The sequence below is a fragment of the Homo sapiens genome, chromosome 20 (assembly GCF_000001405.40).
Source record: "Homo sapiens chromosome 20, GRCh38.p14 Primary Assembly".
Classification (NCBI taxonomy): Eukaryota; Metazoa; Chordata; class Mammalia; order Primates; family Hominidae; genus Homo; species Homo sapiens.
In genome coordinates this window covers 58,230,559-58,247,807 of record NC_000020.11, presented here as the reverse complement: position 1 = coordinate 58,247,807, position 17,249 = coordinate 58,230,559, and the positions used below count along the sequence as shown (strand labels likewise).

The window sequence follows — 17,249 nt, the reverse complement described above, 5'->3', positions numbered from 1 at the left end:
TGTCTGTAATGATTAATAAGGCCTGTTCAAATACTTGATATAAAATGTATTATTCATATAAAATTAATATTCTGGAAGAATGAAAACAGTATAATGGGGCTAAATTTTTCCTTACTTTCTGTTGAATAATAGTATTTGGAATTTAGGGAATGATTTAGAAAGCAATAAATCTCCATAGATGTAATGTGGTGGAGAGTAGCTTGTGTGGTGTCCAACTATCTGTTTCAGCCTGGGCTCAGTCCTGGCCACCGCCGCTGGCCGATGCTGCGTTCATTCACTGCACTGTTCTTTCTGGTTCCAGGTGCACCAGGCTGCCTTCCAGTCCCTCGGCCCCTTCACTTCCACCTTTGCAAACCCCTCCAGGGCTGGCCTTTATCTTCGAGAGGATGGCGCCCTGAGCATCTGGCCACTCACCCAGGATTTGGACTCTGGTTTTGCCTCTGGCTCCCCTGCTCCCAGCAGTGGTGGTAACACTTCCCCTGCCAGGTATGCTCTGGCTAGGGTCACCACCAGGACCCTCGATGTACCTTAAGCACCCACCTAAAATTTCAGCAATTATCTTGTCTCGAGTTTTAGTAGTGACCTTCTGGGCAAGATGGAATATTAGAGCTTTAATTATGTAAAGAAGCAAAAAGTAATTGCAATAATGATTTTGAAACATGACTACTGGGTTATAAATAATGAAGCTACTATGTCTCCTAAATTTAGATAAAATATTCATTGAGATTAGTGATTAAATAACCTATAAAGAACATTTTCTCTTACTTTTTGATGAATGAAGTTCTCTGGGTAATTTACTTAGGGAAAAATGTGAAGTCTCCCAAATGTACTTTTTTGGAGGTTGGGTTACATGTACATAAAGGCGACACTCCTGACCAACAGCGGTAGACCCTCCAGTGTTTGCTAATATGGCGCTGGATCTTGGCTTTGTCATGTCTTTCCTCTGAGGCTGATGCGTATACACCAGCCATCCTATTTGAGGTCGTTTGTAAATGTCTCTCCATTGTCGCTAGCGTGCAGGCATGTGAGAGTGGGTAACTGATGCCTCACAGAATACAAATCCTTCCGAGGTTGGCCCATCCTCCCTCCATCCCACTTCCATCAGAGTTCATTGAGCTCCTGCTGTATGGCAGGCCCATGGGCAGTGTCTTCCTCAAGACCTCAAAGTGGTTAACAAATAGCCACCTCTTACCAGTTTCAGCGCCTTTTGTTTTCTAATGCCTGCCCTCTGGTGGAGGTACTCATGAGCAGGAAATGGATGAAATGTACCGAAGGTGCTCCAGCGGAAGTCCAGGCCGGCTCAGCCCTGGAGTATAGTGGAGAGAACGGCTGAACTTTCAAGTGGTGTTTTCAGTGCCCATCATACTCCCGGCGGGGCAGTGGGGGTTGACAAACCTCTTATCCTCTCGTGAGATTTTAGTCAGCTGACACCAGGAGACACAAAGAGGGGCCAGTGGTCAGCTAGGAAGTAGAGGACTGGGTGAGGATGTGGTTCTCATGTTTTTCCCTGTGGCTTTCAGTCTGTTACACAGTATTAAAAGTTTGCTTCCCTCAGTTTAACTCGTTCAGCAAAGCCTGTGCGGAGCGAGCCAGAGCTACCTGTGGAAGGGACCTCAGCGAAAACCAGTGATTGCCCACACAGCAGTAGCTCCTCTGACGGCCCAGCGGAAAGCCCTGTGGAAAGCTGTGTGTCGGCTGGAGCTGAGTGGACCAGGGTTTCCCCAGAGACCAGCGCCTGCTCAAAGCTTTCTGACATGAATGACCTCCCCATCAGCAGCTACCCTGGATCAGATTCCTGGGCCTGCCCAGGGAACACTGAGGATGTGTTCAGTCATTTTCTTTATTGGTGAACTCCTCTCCCTGACATAAGCAAGGACTTAGAGCTGCTTCTGAGTGAGGCTGGGCCTCAGGAGGACGACTGCAGCAGACCTGGGGTTGTGCACAACAGCTGTGTGGCCCGGAGTGAGATTCAGAAAGTCCTTGGTAGCTTGCAGGAGCATCTGATGAATGATCCAGATGTTCAAGGTAAATGTTGTTCATTGTCATTAAAGAGAAGATGGGATGTTTCTGTGTCGTGTGTTGCATTTCGCCACTTCCTTCTTCCCCAGGCATGTGTACTGACGCATGTGCGTGTGGACCTGTATTCATTTACACTGTATACCCATTGAGAGGAGAGACTTGTTCAGTCTCAGTACAGCTCGAAAAGTCAGAAATACCTCTGTGCAGGTACCTATGCAATGATTTTGCTTTCTGATTTTGCAGATGGACGTGCACAGAGTCTGAAGTCAGTTCTGATAGGAAAGTGGATAGTTTGTGGGCATGTCTGTGGCAGGGGAAATTTTATTAGCTCCTTAGACACACTCTTACATCATCTCCCACATAGAATGCCCTTTCTAGTTACGAACAGCCAAGGGTGGCCTCCTTTTGGAGCCTATTAACGCAGCCCTTAGCTAAACTTTAAGGTTCTTGTCTTTGTACAGGAAGGAAAAGCACAACTACTGCTTTGGGGTATTTTTCATTTTATGACTCGTGCTCCCACTGAGCATCTGATCAGGGATCTGGACCTTGCAATCCATATCCCATTATCATGATCTTCCTTCTCTGCACAGTGCTATATTTGTATTCTTCCTTGCATTGGAGAAATTGGAAAAAAACATCACTTGCTGCTGTTGCTGGGCAGAGATTTGTGAAGCTTTCGGGAAGGGAACTATGAAAATTCAGTTAGCCCTGTGATTATTCTTTATCCTTAAATTTATGAAGGAAATTAAATCAATGTTTGCTGAAGGAATGGGCACACGTAACATATCACTTCTAATAGCTAGAGACAAAGGTCTGTTTTTGGAAAACACATTACTGAGCTGCCTTAATCCCCAGTGTAAGACCTGGACTGGGGGCTGGGCAGTGATGACTGTGGCCCCTGAGGCCCTTGTGATATGGTTAAGGGGATTGTGCAGGCAGCCACCCTGTGGGGCATGGCGAGGGCTCGGAACGGAGGGGATGCGATGTGTAGAGGAAATGTCTGGGAGAGACCTTACATAGCAGGTGACATTTGGCCTGGGCTTTAGAGATTGGCTGAGAACCCACCATTCAGAGAAGTCAGGGGATGAGTTTCAGAAGGTTCTTTCAGTTCCCTGAAATCATTATTTGTAAAATCTTGCATGTTTGTGCATACTTAATTTCTTTGTAAGACAAGGCCCATAGCTTTCTTCAGAGCTCAAAGGGATCTATGATCCCCGAAGATCTAGAAATAAGTGATGCATTTTATTTGTGAACTGGCCACGGCAGGCAGGAGATGTCACTCAGGCCATTGGGAAGGGCCTGGTGTGTAGCACTGGAGCGGTGGGACCTGTCCTGGGCACAGCGCAGAGCCAGCTACAAGCTCTCAGTGTTTTGATGAATGTTGGAGTCCACGAAATTTAATTAATAGAAGCAGGATGCAGGAAGTAATATGTGTGTGTGTGTGTGTGTGTGTGTGTGTGTCTTTTGGGAGGTTGAGGATACTAAAACATTCGTTTATTTTTACAGAAAGGTATGTGAAATATGTTATCTTTACTGTTTAGATAGTCTCAAACTGTCATACTCTGGACAGAAAGAATGGGCAGCCTTTGGGGCTTGGTGAGTGAGAGCATTACTCATCTGTGTGTAAATGGATGTATTCATGCATGGGTGTGTGTGTGCACATGTATGTATGTGTATGTGAGCAGGTAGCCATCCTGCTTTATAAATGGGGGAGCAGGATACCCTTCACTGAGTTGTTGGACCTCCCAGTCATCCTTGTTCAGTGATACCATGCTGTCTTTCTGTGAAACATGGTGGAGTCACTTGGGTTTTTCCGAATTGAGACTTTTCAAGTTCAGGTTTGATGTTCTGTGCATGGCTGGCATTTAGTTGAAGTAGTTAATTGTTAGTGGCCGGAAATATCACCACCTTGCCGAGAGCTTGAGACTCCAGAGCATTGTCACTTCAGAACAGATACGTGTCAGTGTAGTACACCCACACCATGTAGCTTAGTGCAGACTATGTTGTTTTGAAGACTTCTCTGAAGTAAACCCCCACAAACCAAATAAAGTTGTTAAATTTCTTGAAACTTCTCTTCCTCCAGCTCAAGTTCAGGTATTATCCGCTGCACTGAGAGCTGCACAGCTCGACTGCGTGAATGAAGCTGAGAGCAAGCCAACAGCAGGCCTAAAGGAAGTGTCCATTTCACATCCCAGCTCTGCCTCTGACAATCAGATCGCTCTGGCGGCCTCATCATCTCAGGATGAGCTCTTTGTGGCCAGGATATTACAAAGCCCAGTAAGTATTTGCCGTATCCCTCAGCCACCGAGGATGTGACAGAAATCACAAAGCAGCATTTTCTCTTATTAATATATCCCAGCAGAGATGATAAATGGCAAATTTCATTTTATTCTTAAGGTCATGTTTTGGATAACTAGACAACCAATCAATCAGGTGATTGATAGTGCCGACGCGCTCCCACGAAGACGGGTGGGCACCAGAAAGTACCTTCCCTCTTCTCCAGAGATGACAAGAACTTCTTCTTTGGGGAGGTTAACCATGTAAATGCTCTGTGTCACTGCTAACAGACATCAACATCTTTTAATAATAGTGGAGGGTGAATTCAGGCAGTTCCTGGAATTTCAAGTGGACGAGGCCTCCCAGAGCAGCTGTCACACCAGCCGCCCATTTGGTAGGCGCTCTGGCATACGTGGATGCTCCAGTGCTGGTCCTGGCATGCTGTTTCTCTTTCTTTTGAAAAAGCACCAGTGACCCCCTTCCTCCTGTGGGTGGAACCAGCCCCTTGTGAGACCACGGCCCCAAAGCTGGAGTGAAGAGGGGCCCATGATTTATTTCTTCAGGTTTCTCCAGGAGCTTGGGTCAACCCCTTGTAGCTGGAGGTTCTTGAGCTGTCCTAGTTTCTACTAAGCTTCCACTTGGACCACTTTAAGTTGGGGTCTTCCACAGGTAGGGGGGCAGAATGGAGGATTAAAATGAGGGAGGAGTCTGTGGTCATACAGTCATTGGGATAGCACCGTGTCATTATCATGTGCCATGATGGATAATCTCTTCAATCTCATGGTCTCCAGGGCCTAAATACCAGTTGTTTCTCTATTCATACAGTTTAGAACTTGATTTCAGTGATTAACACCTCCCTTACCCCTTAGGCCTGCTCTAATAAAGCAAAATAAAACATTTTAGAACTCAAACATAAAATGTGTAGGAGTTGGTTATCTGTGATTAATAAGAAATGGGGTGATATCCTCTTCTGCTGGTTTGTTGCTAAAAAAATTAGCAAGAAAGCTCATTATTGTCAACCTTGTTACCTAGAGTGCAAAAGTTGCAAGTGTTAAGTAGAAGGGTGTGACCACATTTACCTTGGTGGGGATGTGATAGTATTTGGACTTCTTTATCATAGAGGTGAAAAAAAAAAAAAAGAACAGATTCCTCCAGGCTGGGGCTTTTGAGTTGCAGCTTTAAAAGGGTTTGTGTAATGGAGCCTGTTTTATGGTGTGGGAGGGCAGAGCCCTTGAATTTGCGGCTTGACTCCAAGATCCTAGTGGGATTAATTAGGATGCTTCCTGTCGCAAAAGAAGGGAGAGGAAATAAAAAACTCCAAGAACCATGAGGAAAATGTTCTCTTGCACAAGACAAGAGGAAGAAGTGCTGTGGTTGGGCAGCTTCTGGGCTGCTAGACTCCATACCTTTGGTGCTGATCTGTCCACCCTTCCCCTCTGCTGTGGTGGCTTTTGTCAGCATGAAATGCCCAGTGGAAGGCGGGGCCTGTGTCTTCCCACTTGTCTCTTTTGAAGAACAAGGACACCCCAGGCGGGAAACCACCTCCCTGCCCTCTCCTTCTGCCTCCCTCTTCCTGGCCACAGTCACGGTGTGCATTCATGGGTTGAGCATGGTGAACTGGGCAGAAACATGGGAGCCCCCTGAGTCGGGATCCTGCTAGAAAGAAGGCTGCTGGATGCTGAGTGGTGGGTGCACAGGTAGCCAGCCAGCATGGTGTCCCACTGGGGTTTGGGGAACTCACAATACCTTCTGGAGGTGCCATGACTTGTGGTGATTTGCTTAAGCCTTGATTTGGCTCCTGGATTAAGTGCTGCACATATGCTTGCACTGAAGACTTTGGAATAAAATTAATTTCTAAAGGGATAATAGTGATTCTAATGACACATCTTGTTACTATATGTGAATTTATTAATAATAAGACCACAAGAAATTGAGGTCTTAGGTTTTTATACCAAAATATTTCTGTTTTATCATGTCCTCTGTTAAAATAAATAGTACATATCAGTGAAAACCTTGGGAATTGAAGGTTCTGGTGGCGCGCCTCAGAGCAAACGAAGCATCTATCGGTGTGTTAATCGACTTTCCTGGATCATACATTGAGCTGATTTGTCAGAATCCATTAAGCTGGTAGACAGTATGACATTTCAAGTGCAACTTGGAAATCCATGTTATGGTTGAAGGAGAAGGTCAGGTCCATCTCAGTTAATGTTAATCAACGATCAGAGACCAAAATGTCACCATTGAATGTTCTTGTTCATTTTAATTGTTTACCTAATGTAAAGGTTTATCAGCGAACATCAGGAGTGTTTGTACCTGTGAAAATCTAGGACAATTTTCTGATTAAATACTCCTGTATCAGCCACATCTTTTCTCTCAGATTCATTGGGTTCCCCAGCCCCCATCCTCTTTCAGGGACCCACCATTGCTGCAATCCCTGATTACCAAGAAATGCTGGAGGTGCTGGCTCTACCACTTCTTGCAAACCTCACCCTTCTGGAGTAGTCTGTGCCTTAAACATGTGAATATTACTTAAAGGTGTTGGTTAGCCATACCAGGGAGTCCCTAGGGCATAAGGAATAGTGGATGCAAACTCACAGGGTTGCTCCTCAGTGCTTTCACTTTAGCCTTTGTATTTCTGTAAGGACCTCCAGCAGTCTTGAAATTAAAATGTATGAAATCAATTTTCCTTTGCACTTAAAAGAACTGGTTTATACAGTATCATATGTAACTGTGCAAATGTAATTTTTAACATCTGGAAAGATACCATTGACTTCAAGGAAAGCTTTTGCCTTGGCTTACAGAAGTAATTTCTGGCATTGAAAAAGGACTCTTTGAAGGGGAAGTGACAGGACAGCTGCTTCCTTTGGAGCAAATTGGTAACATGTCCAATCAACTCTGTAGGATCCAGGTGGACCCAGAAATGGAACCAGTGACCATCTGGAGACTGACCAGAGGCAGGATCCCACCCCACTTGAAGAGAATAAATCTAAATTACAGGTTCGTTTCTTTCGGGGGCGGGGGGGCGGGGAGGCAACTCAAAACTGTGTATTTTCTTAAAGTTAACTTTAAGAATTGGAACCAAATATTTTTTCTTCTATCAATATTGATTACATATTTTAATTCATATTTCGTGTTGCTAATTGTAAAAAATTAATTGTAAGGTAGTGTTTAAGCTTCTGAACAATCTATAATAGTGTTTTCAATAAAGCAAACTAATATGAGAAAAAAATAAGACATCTAACACTGATTTGATTGAGTTCTATCTCAGTCAAGCACAGTCAAACATAGACGTGATTATCAGAGTATAAGGTCTCAGGTGCTAGGTTCTTGGGGCAGTTGTAAGAAAAGAGAAGGCAGTCTCCATTCTCAAGAGCTGGATGTACCAGCCTAAGCAGACATTGCTGTCTAGACTGTCCTCTATGATATCAAATATTGTGCCAATCTTAAGAAGATGAGTTTTGGGTGTTGCTTTCACTTCAAGCAAAATTGAAAACCCACTCTCTGGAGAAAACAGAGTTGGCAATCTGAAGCCCTTTGGCTTTAGGAAGGCCTCATGTTCCTCTCACATTTCTGCTTTATTGTTTTCACCTCTAAACTCCAAACTCCTTGTTTTTCATGAGTATTTTCCTGCATTCACGATGGCCTCCTTTCTCTCTCATTTCCCAGGATGTAATACCTCAGCCGCTGCTAGATCAGTATGTGTCCATGACTGACCCAGCTCGAGCCCAGACTGTCGATACTGACATAGCCAAACACTGTGCCTACAGCCTCCCAGGGGTGGCACTGACCCTGGGCAGGCAAAATTGGCACTGCCTGAAAGATACATATGAAACACTGGCTTCTGATGTACAGGTAAAAGCCTTTCCAGAGGCACGTGCAGAAAGAGGGTGGGTCATTCATTAGGGAGAAAAGGGAAGCTGCAGCAAGGCTTATTGGCCTGAATTTTATGTGGATGCAAATTGGCATGTTTACTGGTCTCTGATGAAATAAAGCTTTAAGTGGCCAACACCTGGCAGTATTCATTTTGCTCCAAAAATGCCATGTAAGATACGGAAGAGGTTGAATTGCACTTGCTTGTCGTGATTCGTGTGTCTGCTATGCACCCCTAGTGGAAGGTACGGCGAGCCCTAGCCTTCTCCATTCACGAGCTGGCTGTGATTCTTGGGGATCAGTTAACAGCAGCTGACCTGGTGCCTATCTTCAATGGATTTTTAAAGGATCTGGATGAAGTGCGAATAGGAGTTCTTAGACACCTGTATGATTTTCTAAAGGTAGGAAGAAGGGTTAAAAGCAAAAAACAAGCCTCCTCTCTCCGAATCAAATTTGTGAAGCCCTGGATGTCTATGGTGTCAGTGAAAAAAACAATGCAGTTTTTAGCTTTCTTTAGCTGAAATGTACCATCCATAATCTTAAAGTGGATGTTCTTTCAGTGATGGGTAAATATTTTAAACTTTTTTCTCCTCATTTTCCTGTCCATTAGAGTTTTAATTCTGTGGAAGATGGTAGACACAAAGCCTAGCACACTCTTTGCAAAAGAAGAAATCAAGGCCCCCAGGTAGTGACCTGACTTGCCCAGAAGTCACCCAGGGGAAGAGCCTGGGCTGAAGTCCAACCTCTGTTCTGCATGAAGCACTTTTTCTGCAAGTCGCTGCTGCTTCCCTTCTGGCTTCCCCCCCTCCCCCCCAAACGAACGATGAATATAAAAAATAAGAGTTTAAAAATGACCTAGAGAAACTAATTACTCTCATCCACATGACCAAGAGCTGCCCTTCACGGACTCTGGTGTGCGCTGCTCCAGCTGAGTCTCTCCTCTCCTGGTGCCGAGCAGCCTCGCTCCCTGGGAAGCGGCAGTGGCACACTGTCTTCCAAACACACACAGACTGGGTTTTTGTTTGTCTGTTTTTTTGTTTTTAGATAGGAAATTACTAAAGCAGGAAGACCTCAGGGGCATTCAGAAATACATAATAAGCACATGTCCTAGCCAGGGGAAAAGGTTGGAGGTGTTCAGGGATGCATTTGATGTCAGTGTACAGCAGTGTTCATTCGCAGCCACGCTGCGTGATAGATGACGAGGTGTAGGGGAAATGCAAAAGTTCTTGCCAGTGACAAATGTATAATTGGAAGTGGAATAAAAGGGGGCATTTGGGGTCATTTTGAAGGATTATACATGTTTGTTTATATATACATTTTTAAAAAATAGTTGCTTCATGAAGACAAGAGGAGAGACTATCTTTATCAGCTTCAAGAATTTGTAGTGACTGATAACAGCAGGAATTGGAGGTTTCGATATGAACTAGCAGAGTAAGTAAAAACATATTTGGGGATATGAGAAAGCAAACTAGATGGAATAAATCTTAATTTTCTTACCATATAATTGATTTCTAAAGCAGCAGCAATAGTGTTCTTTTAGATAAAGAGATTATGTTTTTATTAAGGTATAAACAGAATTCCAAAAACCCTGAGTTACAAATACCACAGTCTCCGGGGAGACATTCATTTTCAGATGAAGACAGGGCTTGAGTCACTTTCGAATTAGAGTGTTCTGCTGTTCTAGAAGGCAATTTATTTGAACCAAATAAAAGATGAATCACCCACTCTTCAGTGTTTTCCTATTAATCGGAGCAGTTTTTACCAGAGCTTTCCTGAACATTCTGAGTGTGGTCCTCTCCGTAGGGTACAGCATGCTTAATGCCCTTTAGCTACTGTGGGAGACAGGAAGGGGTCTAACCCAGATGAGATGATTATGAAACAAAAAGGTTCCCCAAGGTGGCTCCTATCTGCACATCATTTTGTGCCTGAAGGAGTTATTTAATTCTGTCTTGAGCTGGCAAAAGGAATGTTCCAGGCTTTAGTGATGATGAAAGGGTGGAAGCATCAGTTTAAATAACTCCCCTTCCTAAGGTATATAATGTGCCTTTCACGGTGTGGAGGGAATTTGTTTGTGGCAGTTGTTGTTTGGGTTTTAGTTTTTACCTTGTTTTCATTTCGGTGTCTTTAGTTTTCATTTTTCTCATCCACAACTAGAAATCTCTCAAATAATTGTCTTCCCTGAATAAATTCATCAGGCTTTTGCAGCTATTCAGGATATGATTTGGCTGATGCCAGGGGCAAACCGAAAGCCTTTCTCTTTGCTGTGGTCTTTAATCATTCTGCTTAATTTGAGAGATTGAGGTTTCAGTCATTTTACCATGTTCCCAGCATCCTGTTCTGAGTCGAGAAAAACAGGCCCACGTTTTCCATGAAAGCAGTGCGACCTCTAGCGGCGGCGCACGGGAAGTAGGCGCGCTCGGTGCCCGGCGGGGCTTCCCCGGGTGGTTGCGCGGCCCCAGTGCCCGACCACGTTATCTAGCCCCCTACGCGCCCTATCTCCCATCTCCCGGCTTATTGAAGCCACAGCGACTGATATGAATTCTGTGCTCCGGTGCCCATGATATTGGTATCATGTTTTTGAAAACGGTGCTTTTTGATATGAAAGTATTCACCAGCACTCCGGGCTTCTGGTTCTAACTTCCTCCCCATCTCTTTTTCATTTCCTTTCGTTGCCTGGGTGAAAGCAATGTCATTTATTTTCATGCCCTTCTCCCCATCCCCATTTAGAAAGTAGTGAAAGCTTTGGTAGTGGGTTTTCGCAGCCAGCCGTCTCCTGCATGCTTTTGTCTTTCGGAGTAAGGAGCACGCGCTCCCAGTTCTCTCCAAGCGGACCTCGCTGCAGTGAAACCACCTCGTGCTGCCAAGAGCCGCGAGCAGGAGCATCCGGTTCGGTTTGCAGTCGGAGAAACGCCGGGGCGGTCGTGCAATCTCAGAGTGTTCGCTTGATCTGTTGACCTTTGTGAACTTCAACATTCTGGCTATTTTTATGTTATCTGATTTTTAAAGTTTTATGTGCTTTTCAACTGATAACCTAAAATTGAAATATTAAATCTGTATTCATAAATTTCTCAGCCTCTATTTTACAGAGTTTATTTCCTTTTTGTTTGATTTGTATGTGTGTGAGATGAAGAATTAAAATTTTGTTCACATTTTTTTTGCATGGTCATTTTGCTCAGCTTTCTGCTGTTGGCATTTTACTGAAGACCGAAATCTTGCTGGGTCTTTTGCTGTTCATTTCCCAGCCTGGCTATTTTTATCTGTAAGATGAAATAACAGTAAAAAGAAATCAATAATTTTGTTTTTTTGCCCAAAAATAATGTTTTTTTTGTTGTTGTTTTTGTTGTTGTTGTTTTCCTTTTAATTTCAGACAGCTGATACTGATTCTGGAACTCTATAGTCCCAATGATGTTTATGATTACCTAATGCACATTGCCTTAAAGTTGTGTGCAGATCAAGTTTCTGAAGTTCGGTGGATCTCCTTCAAACTAGTAAGGAATCAGGGCATTTGCTCTGTGATTTTTACAAATAGGAATGTTGATGTATCTTCCATTTTAACTCTTTTAATTTTTCTGGGCTTACTTTGTCAGCTAACCTATGAAACTAGCTTTTAAAATTTGAAATTAGGAACTATATTATAGTTTTATCAATTTGTAGGATAGCTTTTTTTGTTATATGTTTCAGTGACGGCAATTGTGGAGTAATCCTTTTATATATGAAACTCTTTAAGCCATAGGTTAGTGTTTTTAAAATACAGGTTGATTTACAGCTTGGTTTTGTAGAAAAATATTTAGTGAGCAAAGACTCTGCTGTAGAAAAGCTGATCCTATTTTTTTATGTGGGCTTTACACCAGCTGAATACTGATGAAAAAAAATCACATTTGACAATATTGATTTTAAGATACTCTGATGGTATTAAAATTTTATAAAAATGACATGTTCTGAAAGGTAATGATTTAGTTATTAAGCAAGGGGACATGCTCTAAAATTTGGAACCTTAAGATTAAGAATGTATTTTTCTAATGTCAGTCTCCTTTGAAGTTTCATTTTTATGAAGGGTTTTATGTGTGTGTGTGTATTGCCTATATTTAAACATCTTTTTTCTCTGTGTTCTAATGATGACCGTGACAAAAATTACTTTCTCCTGCGCCTATAAATTCATTTTAAAGGTGGAAGGATGCATAAAAATGTCTAGTTTCCGTGTAGAGTAGTATTCGTAATTCAAATAGATGGCAGCATTTTAAATGTGCTCTTTTGATGTTTTTCACAGGTCGTGGCAATTCTGCAGAAGTTCTATTCCAACAGTGAAAGTGCATTGGGGTTAAATTTCATCAATGAGCTCATCATAAGGTTCCGGCACTGTTCTAAGTGGGTTGGAAGGCAAGCTTTCGCTTTCATTTGTCAGGTTAGCAAGACCCCGGGAGGGATCTACCCTGGGTAACATCTGCCACGTGATGAAATCAAGTTCACCAGACAGAGAATCTCAGCCTGGAGCACTAGCCAGGAACTGAGGAATTAGTTCACCTAGCCCTGTTATCTCACAGGACATTGGGACCAACCCAGTGTGGTGAAGGGACTTGCCCAGGGTTACCCCACTGGCATACTCATTTGCCACATAGCTATTGATTGAGTACCTACGATGGTCCAGACAGATTCTAGATGCTAAAGACAAAGTGAACAAGCCTCTGCTCTCCCACATTTCCATCCAGTAAGATAAGGGCCAGGCCCACAGTCCACTCCTTTCCTATACAGGTCTGTGTCCACCACTACACCTCACCTTAGCCAGTGGCTTTGGAAGGAAGGCAGGATGAAGAATTGGGCAGTGGGTTAGGGCAGAGACTTTAACCTCTTTAGAGTAAATGTGTAGAGTTCGTATCATCCTGTCCAGCTCCTCAGATCGCCCTCTCTACTCAGCCTCTTGGAAATGAGGGTGTGATTTATGTTTGCCTAGGAGCAATGGCAGTGATAATGGCTGCCATTTCTTGAATACCTCTTGTGTGCCAGGTATCACATCACACATTTAATTCTCTAATAAAAAGTAATGTGTCATGGCGGGCACCTTTAATCCCAGCTACTTGGGAGGCTGAGGCAGGAGAATCGCTTGAACTCGGGAGGCGGAGGTTGCAGTGAGCTGAGATTGCATCACTGCACTTCAGCCTGGGCAACAGAGTGAGACTCCATCTCAGGGAAGAAAAAAAAAAACCAAGAGGTAATGTGTATTGAGCATGGCATACCCATTTACCTTTAGACCAGCTCTTTTAGGTGAAACATTTGAAGCCCAGAGAGGTTAGGTCACTTGTTCAAGATCACACAGGAAGTGTAAGCCGATGATTTTTTTTTTTCTGCTAAAGTATTGTTTTAAACATTTTAACTTTCATTACACACGTTTTCAAGCATATACAAAGGTAGAGGGATTGCTGTAATGAACCTCTGTGAACCCACCACCCAGCTTTGTTGATAGTACAGTGAAGCCGTGGTTGGGACCGTACCTGACCCCAGACCGCAAAGCCCCCTTTCTCTCCCTGATGACCACGGGCACCAGAGGACTCACCAGCGCCCCCTCTTGGACCAGTGGGACATTACAGGAGTGCTTTGGCAGCCCACTCTGAGAAGGGCAGTGGATGGCAGAGTGAACAACAAACTCACAGACTCACAAACTCACAGACGGCACAGACTTTTGTGAAGGAAGAGTCAATGTTCCAAATCAATTTGTGGAGAAAGCTTAAAGGAAATAGTTTTTGCTTTTATTTTTAAATTCTTTATCTGAGATTTAGAAAGTCTGAAATAAACAAAAGGACTCTTGGGACTGCGGGGGAAGGGTGGGAGGGGGTGAGGGGTAAAAGGCTACACATTGGGTGCCATGTACACTGCTTAAAGGAGCCTAGGAATATGTGCCTGCCTTCTAGTGTTGTCATGGGCTTCCGTGGGCTGATAAAGCTGAGCTACCCAGCATGGCGCCTGGCACCTAGGGAACACCAGCAGCCACCGCCACAGCACCCATCCACCACGACACCAATTACCCGGGCATAGAAGAGCCACAGGAGTTAGAACCCACACTTCGGCTCACAGTCCCCACCCTGCTGCCACAGGAGTTAGAACCTACACTTGGGCTCGCAGACCCCCCCGCTGCCACTGGTGGTTATGAGACCTTTGGGTGTCACCACCACATTGGAAATGAGTTTTTTTTTAACCTGTAAAACTAGGCTGATTTTGAATTCCAGGGCTAGTCCTGAGAATTAAGTGAGAGAATACATGTAAAGTCGTGTAACTGGAGAAGTTATATGCACTTGCTGGGTATGACTACAGGACTGGCATTTACGGATTGTTTATAGAGGTCTGGGCATTGGGTTATGGTTTGGGATTTGACTGTCACTTGACAGCCACGGCCGCTGTGAATGACAGAAATGAGGTTCTTGACCCTTCCTTACCGGTCAGCTGTATGCAGTGTGGTGGTATTGTCCTAGATGTTTTGCATAACAGACCTGTCATCATACAGATGAGGAAACTGAGGCTCAGAAAGGCTAAGCCGCTTAACCAGAAGTCACATAGCTACTAAGACCAAGTTAGGTTTTGAATCTAGACTTCTGACTCCTAAGCTCACCAGATCTTAACCTACTTGGAACCCACTGCTTGGTAGTGAATTATAATAAAATATTAACTGTGTTTCTAACCAAATCAGTGCTTGAGATTTAAAAATTCATACACACGCCTCAAACCTACAGATTCTGAAATGACTTCTTTGGGATTAAAGAAGTGTATGTTTCTAGAAGACTGCGGAAAACATCATTTCTTTGGCTGTGACTTTCTTGGAGCAGGCAGTGGTGAGCAAGGAGTGTGTCCCCGTGGACCAGTTCATGGAGCACCTGCTTCCCAGCCTCCTGAGCCTCGCATCAGATCCTGTGCCCAACGTGAGGGTTCTGCTAGCCAAGGCCCTAAGGCAGATGCTGTTGGAAAAGGGTAGGTGGAGCACTTTTCAGAACTTACACATTTCGGGTAGACTCCACCAGTTGTTAAAGGCCACAACTAGATTTCCTCTAGGAAACTGAGGCAGGTTGTGTGACAGCACGCGTAAGGTTTATTATGTAAATGATTATGTTAACTTTGATGCATCATTTTATGTTATTTATAAAACGACCAAGGAAATGAATGTAATTTGGTCTTCATACTTAATAAACATATGCTAAAATGTAAATTATTACATAGCTTTCCAGAAATGAGGGAAATTGATAAATTTTGAGTTATGACATGAAAGATTATGAAAGGTAGCAAACGTAAGCCTTAACTGCTATTATGTTTTAATGGTATTATTTTGTGGTCAGTTAGAAAAGATTTGTAACCCAACTAGTGGATTATTTACACCTGGACAGGACTCAATAAAAGCTTTGTGTTTCTTGGATAGTTTATTTCTACACCACACATATAGGAAAATATCTTGAACTCTGCCCTACATGTACATTTCTTGCCACCTCACCCCCTGCCCCACCCTACCTACAACCTGCTCCTGCTCTGCACATTGCCATTTCTTTTGTATTGCAGGGAAAAAAGATAGTTACTATAATTTTAAAAATATGCATAACTGTTGGGAGTCCATCTTTAACATTTTAGAAATACTCTTTGATTTATTGTCCTGACATGTGGCTAACAAAAAACAAAACCGAGTGTGTTTTGAACACTGTTCATGGCTTACCTGATTCAGACTCATGGTTTCTCTCTTTAGCGTATTTTAGAAATGCTGGTAACCCTCATCTTGAAGTCATTGAAGAGACCATCTTAGCATTGCAGTCAGACCGGGACCAAGATGTTTCCTTTTTTGCAGCCCTAGAACCAAAGCGGCGGAATATCATAGACACTGCTGTACTAGAAAAACAGAATTAACTACTTCCGTGATGAGTTGCAATCTGATTATTTCATGCTTGGCACATATGGCTTACCATAACTTGAAGGGGAACTGATTGTATTATACCAGCTGGGGGAGATTTTGGAACCTTTCATACTGTGCACTCAGTGATTGACGCCTTTTCCATCTGTACCCCGAAGGGACTGAACCTGATGGGGGCTTTTTCTGGATGGCTGGGCCATCCTGATCAAGCCTGATCAGTAAGTCTGTGGAAAGATTGCAGACCAGGTGGCTAACTGGGCACTGGAGCCTCTGAACCATCAGGCTGTCTGCCAGCAAGTTCTTTTCTCCATGGCAGACTGTATGATCTGAAGTCCCCCCAACCCTCTCCAAGTAAAGTAGTTTATTAGAAGCTCTTAAGTCTTTAATAGACCTGCATATTTCCTTCCCTTATGATTTCCTATAAAATATAGTTTATGGTGTTATATTTTTAACTGAAATACTGTACATATGTAAATAACTCTTGACAGGAAGAAAATATATTAATGTAGTATTTGCCCCCTATCAGTGAGCTGAACAAATACATCATTTAAATCTATGCTGCACTTTGAGTTGCTACAAATATGGTTCGATTTGTTTATTTTTGAAAAATGTGATAAAGAAATCTAAAGAATGATTGATGGCAGTCTTTCTAATATTGTGCCTTTGTTATAAACTACTTGGAACTTTTCCTCAGGCACTCACTCCTCCCTGCCTGACAGGAACTGTTTCCATGAAGATATGTGTTGGCCTTTGATAGAGGCATAAAGCTGAAAGATTTTTCATTTTTATATGGATATGCTGTCATATGTTTAAGAACTTGAGAGGGAAATGGATAACTGAGGTTTTTCCATTTTTATATGGATATGCTATATGTTTAAACTTGGGAGGGAAATTGATAACTGAGATGCATGGATATTGACTTTATATCTAATGCTTTAGAATCTTAACCAAAAAAAGGAAAACCTAGTTCTGATCATAACCTGCCCACAAGTTCTACGCACCTGTGACTTTGGGGGTCAAATTATATACTCTTCAAATTGACTTAAGTACACACCGCTTAGATTTCATGCGTTTCAAATTTAGACTAAGAGAAAGATGCTCTAGAATTTAACCAGGTTTTTTAAATCAGTAATTTAAGATTTTCTAACCATTTGAACAAATTTTACTTACATGTATGCACATGTCATTTTTCGTGTTTCTATTTTTA

At 43.0% G+C, this 17,249-nt stretch overlaps 1 pseudogene across 1 annotated transcript in view, besides 2 other annotated features; it reads left to right on the top strand.

The window, feature by feature from the left end:
* The window catches only part of PPP4R1L (protein phosphatase 4 regulatory subunit 1 like (pseudogene)), a 76,663-nt pseudogene extending 61,632 nt beyond the window's left edge, over positions 1-15,031 (top strand). Inside the window, exons 8-17 of the transcript NR_003505.3 lie at positions 302-486; positions 1,556-2,025; positions 4,103-4,296; positions 7,198-7,293; positions 7,963-8,148; positions 8,406-8,567; positions 9,497-9,597; positions 11,534-11,654; positions 12,434-12,531; positions 14,886-15,031. The product of NR_003505.3 is annotated as a protein phosphatase 4 regulatory subunit 1 like (pseudogene) (transcript). The remainder of the gene's footprint in view (positions 1-301; positions 487-1,555; positions 2,026-4,102; positions 4,297-7,197; positions 7,294-7,962; positions 8,149-8,405; positions 8,568-9,496; positions 9,598-11,533; positions 11,655-12,433; positions 12,532-14,885) is intronic.
* Positions 5,844-6,344: an enhancer, noted in NCBI's record as "H3K27ac hESC enhancer chr20:56816520-56817020 (GRCh37/hg19 assembly coordinates)". NCBI's record gives its function as "activates a minimal SCP1, AML or CMV promoter by ChIP-STARR-seq in primed H9 embryonic stem cells {active_cell/tissue: H9 hESC(primed)}" and the evidence as "EXISTENCE:reporter gene assay evidence [ECO:0000049][PMID:30033119]".
* Positions 10,634-10,683: a silencer, noted in NCBI's record as "silent region_13069". NCBI's record gives its function as "represses an Ori minimal core promoter by ATAC-STARR-seq in GM12878 lymphoblastoid cells {active_cell/tissue: GM12878}" and the evidence as "EXISTENCE:reporter gene assay evidence [ECO:0000049][PMID:35858748]".
* Positions 15,032-17,249: the final 2,218 nt, after the last annotated feature.